Source organism: Homo sapiens, chromosome 1 (genome assembly GCF_000001405.40).
Source record: "Homo sapiens chromosome 1, GRCh38.p14 Primary Assembly".
Lineage (NCBI taxonomy): Eukaryota > Metazoa > Chordata > Mammalia > Primates > Hominidae > Homo > Homo sapiens.
Window position 1 is genome coordinate 60,489,252 of NC_000001.11, and position 11,155 is coordinate 60,500,406.

At 39.5% G+C, this 11,155-nt stretch overlaps 2 annotated features.

Moving 5' to 3' along the window:
- Positions 603-1,159: an enhancer, noted in NCBI's record as "H3K27ac-H3K4me1 hESC enhancer chr1:60955526-60956082 (GRCh37/hg19 assembly coordinates)". NCBI's record gives its function as "activates a minimal SCP1, AML or CMV promoter by ChIP-STARR-seq in naive H9 embryonic stem cells {active_cell/tissue: H9 hESC(naive)}" and the evidence as "EXISTENCE:reporter gene assay evidence [ECO:0000049][PMID:30033119]".
- Positions 1,160-1,715: an enhancer, noted in NCBI's record as "H3K27ac-H3K4me1 hESC enhancer chr1:60956083-60956638 (GRCh37/hg19 assembly coordinates)". NCBI's record gives its function as "activates a minimal SCP1, AML or CMV promoter by ChIP-STARR-seq in naive H9 embryonic stem cells {active_cell/tissue: H9 hESC(naive)}" and the evidence as "EXISTENCE:reporter gene assay evidence [ECO:0000049][PMID:30033119]".

An 11,155-nucleotide genomic window follows, 5' to 3' on the forward strand; every position in this document is an offset into this window, starting at 1 on the left:
CACCTATAATCCCATCACTTTGGGAGGCCGAGGTGGGTGAATCACCTGAAGTCAGGAGTTCGAGACCAGCCTGGCCAACATGGCAAAACCCAGTCTCTATTAAAAATAATTTTTAAAAAATTACCCAGGCGTGGGCACCTGTAATCCCAGCTACTTGGGAGACTGAAGCAGGAGAATTGCTTGAACCCGGGAGGCAGAGGTTGCAGTGAGCCGAGATCGTGCCACTGCACTCCAGCCTGGGCAACAGAGTGAGACTCTGTCTCAAAAAAAAAAAAAAAAAGTTCCTAATTTTGATGAAGTCCGATTTATTATTTTTATCATTTATTCATTGAACTTTTGATACCATATCTAAGAAATATTTGTTACACAGGATTACATAAATGTGCCCCACATTTTTTCTTTATACAAGCTGCAAGTACTTCCAGGGGCTTTTTCTTCCAGGAACAGTGCAGAGAGAGAGCTATAAAAACTTCAACCCCCTATTTCTCCCTGGAAAGGACATAGTGTTCCAGTGGCCACTTGGTGACCTGGGTTCTAACTAACTTGTGTAGGCGAGTAGGAGGAGCAGACAAGTATTAACTTGCTGGCAAGCTGAGAAGATGGGCACTTCTTGAGCCTTCTCTGACTCCTCCCAGTGACGATTCCAGGTCTCTTAATCCTTGGAAGAAGTTTTTTCACAGATAGAGCACCCTAACTTTTATAGCTTCTATCAAGGGACAGCATCCTAAACCTCCTAGCCCTGGAAGCAGAGGACAATTAGAAATGTGACTCTATTTAGACGACAGAAAAAAACTGACCATTTTATGTGGATGCATAAGCACTTTCAGAGGCTTCATTCCCCAGGAGTAGTGCAGAAAAGGGGCTTTAAAAATGTACCTTCCGGGAGGAGCCAAGATGGCCGAACAGGAACAGCTCCGGTCTACAGCTCCCAGTGTGAGCGAGGCAGAAGACAGGTGATTTCTGCATTTCCATCTGAGGTACCAGGTTCATCTCACTAGGGAGTGCCAGAGAGTGGGCTCAGGTCAGTGGGTGCGCGCACTGTGCGCGAGCCGAAGCAGGGCGAGGCATTGCCTCACTTGGGAAGCGCAAGGGGTCAGGGAGTTCCCTTTCCAAGTCAAAGAAAGGGGTGACAGACAGCACCTGGAAAATCGGGTCACTCCCACCCGAATACTGCGCTTCTCCAACGGGCTTAAAAAACGGCGCACCACGAGATTATCTCCGGCACCTGGCTTGGAGGGTCCTACACCCACGGAGTCTCGCTGATTGCTAGCAGGGCAGTCTGAGATCAAACTGCAAGGAGGCAGCGAGGCTGGGGGAGGGGCGCCCGCCATTGCCCAGGATTGCTTAGGTAAACAAAGCAGCCTGGAAGCTCGAACTGGGTGGAGCCCACCACAGCTCAAGGAGGCCTGCCTGCCTCTGTAGGCTCCACCTCTGGGGGCAGGGCACAGACAAACAAAAAGACAGCAGTAACTTCTGCAGACTTAAATGTCCCTGTCTGACAGCTTTGAAGAGAGCAGTGGTTCTCCCAGCACGCAGCTGGAGATCTGAGAACTGGCAGACTGCCTCCTCAAGTGGGTCCCTGACCCCTGACCACCGAGCAGCCTAACTGGGAGGCACCCCCAGCAGGGGCACACTGACACCTCACACGGCAGGGTATTCCAACTGAAGGTCCTGTCTGTTAGAAGGAAAACTAACAAACAGAAAGGACATCCACACCAAAAACCCATCTGTACATCACCATCATCAGAGATCAAAAGTAGATAAAACCACAAAGATGGGGAAAAAACAGAACAGAAAAACTGGAAACTGTAAAACGCAGAGCGCCTCTCCTCCTCCAAAGGAACGCAGCTCCTCACCAGCGATGGAACAAAGCTGGATGGAGAATGACTTTGATGAGCTGAGAGAAGAAGGCTTCAGATGATCAAATTACTCTGAGCTATGGGAGGACATTCAAACCAAAGGCAAAGAAGTTGAAAACTTTGAAAAAAATTTAGAAGAATGTATAACTAGAATAACCAATACAGAGAAGTGCTTAAAGGAGCTGATGGAGCTGAAAACCAAGGCTCGAGAACTACGTGAAGAATACAGAAGCCTCAGGAGCCGATGCGATCAACTGGAAGAAAGGGTATCAGCAATGGAAGATGAAATGAATGAAATGAAGCGAGAAGGGAAGTTTAGAGAAAAAAGAATAAAAAGAAATGAGCAAAGCCTCCAAGATATATGGGACTATGTGAAAAGACCAAATCTACGTCTGATTGGTGTACCTGAAAGTGATGGGGAGAATGGAACCAAGTTGGAAAACACACTGCAGGATATTATCCAGGAGAACTTCCCCAATCTAGCAAGGCAGGCCAACGTTCAGATTCAGGAAATACAGAGAACGCCACAAAGATACTCCTCGAGAAGAGCAACTCCAAGACACACAATTGTCAGATTCACCAAAGTTGAAATGAAGGAATAAATGTTAAGGGCAGCCAGAGAGAAAGGTCGGGTTACCCTCAAAGGGAATCCCATCAGACTAACAGCGGATCTCTCGGCACAAACCCTACAAGCCAGAAGAGAGTGGGGGCCAATATTCAACATTCTTAAAGAAAAGAATTTTCAACCCAGAATTTCATATCCAGCCAAACTAAGCTTCGTAAGCGAAGGAGAAATAAAATACTTTACAGACAAGCAAATGCTGAGAGATTTTGTCACCACCATCCCTGCCCTAAAAGAGCTCCTGAAGGAAGCGCTAAATATGGAAAGGAACAACCGGTACCAGCCGCTGCAAAATCATGCCAAAATGTAAAGACCATCGAGACTAGGAAGAAACTGCATCAACTAACACGCAAAATAACAAGCTAACATCATAATGACAGGATTAAATTCACACATAACAATATTAACTTTAAATGTAAATGGACTGAATGCTCCAATTAAAAGACACAGACTGGCAAATTGGATAAAGAGTCAAGACCCATCAGTGTGCTGTATTCAGGAAACCCATTCACGTGCAGAGACACACATAGGCTCAAAATAAAAAGATGGAGGAACATCTACCAAGCAAATGGAAAGCAAAAAAAGGCAGGGGTTGCAATCCTAGTCTCGGATAAAACAGACTTTAAACCAACAAAGATCAAAAGAGACAAAGAAGGCCATTACATAATGATAAAGGGATCAATTCAACAAGAAGAGCTAACTATCCTAAATATATATGCACCCAATACAGGAGGACCCAGATTCATAAAGCAAGTCCTGAGTGACCTACAAAGAGACTTAGACTCCCACACATTAATAATGGGAGACTTTAATACCCCACTGTCAACATTAGACAGATCAACGAGACAGAAAGTCAACAAGGATACCCAGGAATTGAACTCAGCTCTGCACCAAGCAGACCTAATAGACATCTACAGAACTCTCCACCCCAAATCAACAGAATATACATTTTCTTCAGCACCACACCACACTTATTCCAAAACTGACCACATACTTGGAAGTAAAGCTCTCCTCAGCAAATGTAAAAGAACAGAAATTATAACAAACTATCTCTCAGACCACAGTGCAATCAAACTAGAACTCAGGATTAAGAATCTCACTCAAAACCGCTCAACTACATGGAAACTGAACAACCTGCTCCTGAATGACTACTGGGTACATAACGAAATGAAGGCAGAAATAAAGATGTTCTTTGAAACCAACGAGAACAAAGACACAACATACCAGAATCTCTGGGATGCATTCAAAGCAGTGTGTAGAGGGAAATTTATAGCACTAAATGCCCACAAGGGAAAGCAGGAAAGATCCAAAATTGACACCCTAACATCACAATTAAAAGAACTAGAAAAGCAAGAGCAAACACATTCAAAAGCTAGCAGAAGGCAAGAAATAACTAAGATCAGAGCAGAACTGAAAGAAATAGAGACACAAAAAACCCTTCAAAAAATTAATGAATCCAGGAGCTGGTTTTTTGAAAGGATCAACAAAATTGATAGACTGCTAGCAAGACTAATAAAGAAAAAAAGAGAGAAGAATCAAATAGACGCAATAAAAAATGATAAAGGGGATATCACCACTGATCCCACAGAAATACAAACTCCCATCAGAGAATACTACAAACACCTCTATTCAAATAAACTAGAAAATTTAGAAGAAATGGATAAATTCCTCAACACATATACCCTCCCAAGACTAAACCAGGAAGAAGTTGACTCTCTGAATAGACCAATAACAGGATCTGAAATTGTGGCAATAATCAATAGCTTACCAACCAAAAAGAGTCCAGGACCAGATGGATTCACAGCCGAATTCTACCAGAGGTACAAGGAGGAACTGGTACCATTCCTTCTGAAACTATTCCAATCAATAGAAAAAGAGGGAATCCTCCCTAACTCATTTCATGAGGCCAGCATCATTCTGATACCAAAACCTGGCAGAGACACAACCAAAAAAGAGAATTTTAGACCAATATCCTTGATGAACATTGATGCAAAAATCCTCAATAAAATACTGGCAAAACGAATCCAGCAGCACATCCAAAAGCTTATCCACCATGATCAAGTGGGCTTCATCCCTGGGATGCAAGGCTGGTTCAATATACGCAAATCAATAAATGTAATCCAGCATATAAACAGAACCAAAGACAAAAACCACATGATTATCTCAATAGATGCAGAAAAAGCCTTTGACAAAATTCAACAACCTTCATGCTAAAAACTCTCAATAAATTAGGTATTGATGGGATGTATTTCAAAATAATAAGAGCTATCTATGACAAACCCACAGCCAATATCATACTGAATGGGCAAAAACTGGAAGCATTCCCTTTGAAAACTGGCACAAGACAGGGATGCCCTCTCTCACCACTCCTATTCAACATAGTGTTGGAAGTTCTGGCCAGGGCAATTAGGCAGGAGAAGGAAATAAAGGGTATTCAATTAGGAAAAGAGGAAGTCAAATTGTCCCTGTTTGCAGATGACATGATTGTATATCTAGAAAACCCCATTGTCTCAGCCCAAAATTTCCTTAAGCCGATAAGCAACTTCAGCAAAGTCTCAGGATACAAAATCAATGTACAAAAATCACAAGCATTCTTATACACCAACAACAGACAAACAGAGAGCCAAATCATGAGTGAACTCCCATTCACAATTGCTTCAAAGAGAATAAAATACCTAGGAATCCAACTTACAAGGGATGTGAAGGACCTCTTCAAGGAGAACTACAAACCACTGCTCAATGAAATAAAAGAGGATACAAACAAATGGAAGAACATTCCATGCTCATGGATAGGAAGAATCAATATCGTGAAAATGGCCATACTGCCCAAGGTAATTTACAGATTCAATGCCATCCCCATCAAGCTACCAATGCCTTTCTTCACAGAATTGGAAAAAACTACTTTAAAGTTCATATGGAACCAAAAAAGAGCCCGCATCGCCAAGTCAATCCTAAGCCAAAAGAACAAAGCTGGGGGCATCACACTACCTGACTTCAAACTATACTACAAGGCTACAGTAACCAAAACAGCATGGTACTGGTACCAAAACAGAGATATAGATCAATGGAACAGAACAGAGCCCTCAGAAATAACGCCGCATATCTACAACTATCTGATCTTTGACAAACCTGAGAAAAACAAGGAATGGGGAAAGGATTCCCTATTTAATAAATGGTGCTGGGAAAACTGGCTAGCCATATGTAGAAAGCTGAAACTGGATCCCTTCCTTACACCTTATACAAAAATCAATTCAAGATAGATTAAAGACTTAAACGTTAGACCTAAAACCACAAAAACCCTAGAAGAAAACCTAGGCATTACCATTCAGGGCATAGGCATGGGCAAGGACTTCACGTCTAAAACACCAAAAGCAATGGCAACAAAAGACAAAATTGACAAATGGGATCTAATTAAACTAAACAGCTTCTGCACAGCAAAAGAAACTACCATCAGAGTGAACAGGCAACCTACAAAATGGGAGAAAATTTTTGCAACCTACTCATCTGACAAAGGGCTAATATCCAGAGTCCACAATGAACTCAAATAAATTTACAAGAAAAAAACAAACAACCCCATCAAAAAGTGGGCGAAGGACATGAACAGACACTTCTCAAAAGAAGACATTTATGCAGCCAAAAAACACATGAAAAAATGCTCATCATCACCGGCCATCAGAGAAATGCAAATCAAAACCACAATGAGATACCATCTCACACCAGTTAGAATGGCAATCATTAAAAAGTCAGGAAACAACAGGTGCTGGAGAGGATGTGGAGAAATAGGAACGTTTTTACACTGTTGGTGGGACTGTAAACTAGTTCAACCATTGTGGAAGTCAATGTGGCGATTCCTAAGGGATCTAGAACTAGAAATACCATTTGACCCAGTCATCCCATTACTGGGTATATACCCAAAGGACTATAAATCATGCTGCTATAAAGACACATGCACACGTATGTTTATTGCGGCATTATTCACAATAGCAAAGACTTGGAACCAACCCAAATGTCCAACAATTATAGACTGGATTAAGAAAATGTGGCACATATACACCATGGAATACTATGCAGCCATAAAAAAGGATGAGTTCATGTCCTTTGTAGGGACATGGATGAAATTGGAAATCATCATTCTCAGTAAACTATCGCAAGAACAAAAAACCAAACACCGCATATTCTCACTCATAGGTGGGAATTGAACAATGAGATCACATGGACACAGGAAGGGGAATATCACACTCTGGGGACTGCTGTGGGGGTGGGGGGAGGGTGGAGGGATAGCATTGGGAGATATACCTAATGGTAGATGACGAGTTAGTGGGTGCAGCACACCAGCATGTCACATGTATACATATGTAACCTGCACAATGTGCACATGTACCCTAAAACTTAAAAGTATAATAATAATAATTAAAAAAAAGAATTATCAACTCAAAAAAAAATGTACCTTCCTGTTTCTCCTTAGAAGGGTTTATACCACATATCAAGTGCCTCAATTTTACAGCTACCTCACAAAAGATTCCATGTTAAACTTCTTGGCTTTGGGAGCAGAAGGGACTAGACCTATGTGAGTCTCTCTAGACTACAGAAAAAAAGAGGTAATATTAAATGTGGTGCAAACATTTCCAGAGGCTACACCCCATTGGAGCAATGCAGTAAAGGGGCACAGACATTCAGCTCCCATTTTCTCTTTGGAAAGGGCTTTCCAGTGACTACTTGCTGGTCTGGCTTCTAACAAACTTGCATCAGTAGCTAAAAGAGCAAACAAACAATAGCCCTCCAGCAGCCAAAGCCAGAGCTTGCCTCTTCATGAGCCTTTCCTCCAGCTCAGCCCAGTGATAAATCCAGGTATGCCCATTCTTCCTGGAAGGAATTTGGTTCAGAGCCACAACTTCCATAAGCCCCAAGCCAAAGGACTGTCTACTTAACAATTCAGCCCTGGGAGTTGATGGGTTTTGCCTTTCTGGGTGGCCTTAAACCACAGGAAACAAACAGGTGGACATACAATAGGTCCACTTCTAGCAACTATCTTCCCAAGAACAGAGGGTGCAACATAAACATGAATACAGGAATTTGCCACAGATCCTCACTACAGCTTAATGCAGGGTGAAAGATATATGCCTCTGCTCAGCTTTACCAGGAAGATAGAAGGAAGTAGAATAAACATCCAACATCTTAAATTATCAGCTACATCTAGAAAATCTGACTCCTACCTTACCAGTCCTGGGCTACTGACAGGCTATTGTACATTCTAAGCTCCAGTGAGCCACCAAAAACAGAAAGAAAATTTCCAAATTCAAAGATTCGAGATGTACCTTAAGATCTCAGAACAGATGAATTGGTGAGATTCTTGTCCTACAGGAGGCCAGTGTGACAAGACTGGTAGAGGTTATGGTCTTATCTAATGTGTAGAAACCAATACAGAGAGTCAAAGAAAATGAAGAAACCATTTTAAAATATTCCAAATTTAAAAAGAATTTCTACAAACCAACTTGAGTAAAACGAAGATATGTGATTTACTTTATTTATGTTCAGTGAGGTCAGAAGAGGAATGCAAGAACAAACTGAGAATTTCTTTTTTTTTTTTTTTTTGAGACAGGGTCTTGCTGTGTTGCCCAGGCTGGAGTGCGGTGGCATGATCTTGGCTAACTGCAACCTCTGCCTCCTGGGTTCAAGTGATTCTCCTGCCTCAACCTCCCAAGTAGCTGGGATTACAGGCACATGCCACTATACTCAGCTGATTTTTGTATTTTTAGTAAAGACAGGGTTTCACCATGTTGGCCAGGCTGGTCTCAAACTTCTCACCTCAGGTGATCCACCTGACTCGGCCTTCCAAAGTGCTGGGATTACAGGTGTGAGCAACCACACCTGGCCACAAACTGAGAATTTCAACAAAGAATAGAGAGGCTCATCAGCAGACTAAATCAAGCAGAAGAAAGGATCAGTGACCTTGAAGATAGGTGATTGGAAATCATATAATCTAAGGAGCGAAAAGAAACAAAAGAATAAATGAGGAAAATTTAAGAAATTTATGGAACAATATCAAGCATACCAACATTTGCGTTACCAGAATACCAAAGGAGAAGAAAGAGAAAGGGACAGAAAATATGTTAAAAGAATTAATGTCAGCAAGTTTCACAAGTGTGAAGGAGGAAATAGAAATCCAGATCCAGGAAGCTTAAAGGACACCAGATAAGATGAATTTAAAAAGATCCATATCAAAACACATTACAATCAAACTGTCAAAAATTAAAGGCTAAGAGAGAGTTTTCAAAGTGGCAGGGTAAAAGTGAATTGTTATATACAAGAGAACCTTCATAATATTATTAGAGGATTTTTTAGAAAAAAACTTGCAGTCCAGAAGGGAGTGGGATGATATGTCAAAAACCTGAAAGAAAAGAACAAATGTTAACCAAGAATACTATACCCAGCATCCCTCTTTCAAACATGTTGGATGATAAAAACTTTCTGAAACAACAAAAGCTGAGTTTACCACTACTCGACCTGCCTTACAGGAAATGCTAAAGGGAGTTAGTCAAGCTAAAGAAAGAGAATTCTAATTAGTAACATGAAAATATATGAAAGTATAAAATCACTGATAAAAATAAGTATACTGTCAAATCCAAGATACTCTTATATTGTAATGGCAGTGGGTAAATCAGTTATGTCTCTAGTATAAAGGTTAAAAGGCAAAACTATCAAAATACAACTAAAACTACAATGACTCGTTATGGATAAAAATTATTTTAAAATGTAAACTGTAACATCAAAAACACAAAGGACTGTCTACTTAACAACTCAGCCCTGGGAGTTGATGGATTTTTGCCTTCCTGAGTGGCCTTAAACCTCAGAAAACAAACAGGTGGACCTACAATAGGTCCACTTCCAGCAGCTATCTTCCCAAAAACAGAGAGTGCAACAAAAACAGGAATACAGGAATTTGCCACAGATACTCACTGCAGCTTAATGTGGGAGGAGGAATAGTAAAAGCAAAAAGTTTGTGTTTGCAATCAAGGCTAAGTTGTTATTACATTAAAATAGCCTATTGTAAGTATAAGATGTTTTTTGTAAGCATCAGGGTAACCATAAAGAAAAATCCTATAATAGAAATACAGAAGACAAAAAGAGAAGATACAAAACATACCACTACAGAAAGCCATCAAACACAAAATAAAGTACTAGAGGAAGAAAGAAGCACAGGGTGTACAAAACAATCAGAAAACAACTAACAAAATGGTACAAATAAGTTCTTACATATCCATAACTACTTTGAATGTAAATATATTAATTCTCCAATCAAAAGGCATAGAGTGGCTAAATGGATATTTTTAAGACCATAACAAGACCCAATATGTGCTGCCTACAAGAGACTCACTTCACATTAAATGACACTCAGACCAAAAGTGAAGAGATAGAAAAAATAACTCCATGCAGATGTAAACAAATAGAGACAGGGGTAGCTATACTCTTTTAAGGCAAAGTAGATTTTAGGTCAAAAATTGTCAAAAGAAACAAGATCATTATATAGTCAATAAAGAGGCCAATTCATCAAGATGATATGACAACTGTAAATATGTATATGCACCCAATATCAGAGCATCTACATATGTAAAGCAAACATTAAGAGGTCTGAAGGGAGACAACACTGCAACACAATAATAGTAGAAGATGCAATATCCCACTTTCAACATTGGGCAGATCACACAGAAAATTGATTTTTTTAAATGATTGGACTTGAACTACACTTTAGACCAAATAGACCTAACAGACATGTACAGAACATTTCTCTCTACAGCAACAGAATATATATGTATTACATTTATATTCTGTATATCCATTATATCTATATATACATTATAATGTATATATAAATGTATAAATGTACATTTGTTGCTGTTGAGTGGAATATACATTGTTTTCAAGTGCATACAAAATATTCTCCAACATAGATACTATGCTAGACCACAAAACAAGTCTTAACAAATTTTAAAATATCAAAATCTTATCAAGCATCTTTTCTAATCACAGAAGTGTGAAACTAGAAATAAATAACAGGAGAAAATCATAGAAAATAAAAAAGTTGTAGAAATTAAACAATATAATCCTGAACAACTATTGAGTCAAAGAAGAAATTTTTTTAAAAAAAATTAAAATATCAAGACAAAAAATGGAAACACGAGTTATGAAAACCTTGGAGATAAATAAAGCACTTAGAGGAGGGAAGTTTATAGCAATAAATGCCTACATCAACAAAGAAGAAAGATCTCAAATAAACAACCTAACATTACAGTTCAAGAAATTAGAAGAACCAACTAAGCCCAAAGTTAGCACAAGAAAGGAAATAACAAGGACCACAGCAGAAATAAATGAAATAGAGACTAGAAAAACAATAGAAAAGATAAACTAACGTAAGCGTTGGATTTTTGGAAAACTAAACAAAACTAACGAAATCTTAGTTAGACCAAGAACAAAGAGCGAAGAATCAAATTAAGAGAGTCAGAAATGAAAGAGGAAACATTACAAATGGTAACACAAAAATACAAATGATCACAAAAGACTGCTAAGAATAACTATACACCAACAAATTGCACAACCTAGAGAAATGAATAAATTTCTAAAATATATAACTTACCAACACTAAATTATAAAGAAATTTGAAATCTAAACCGATCAA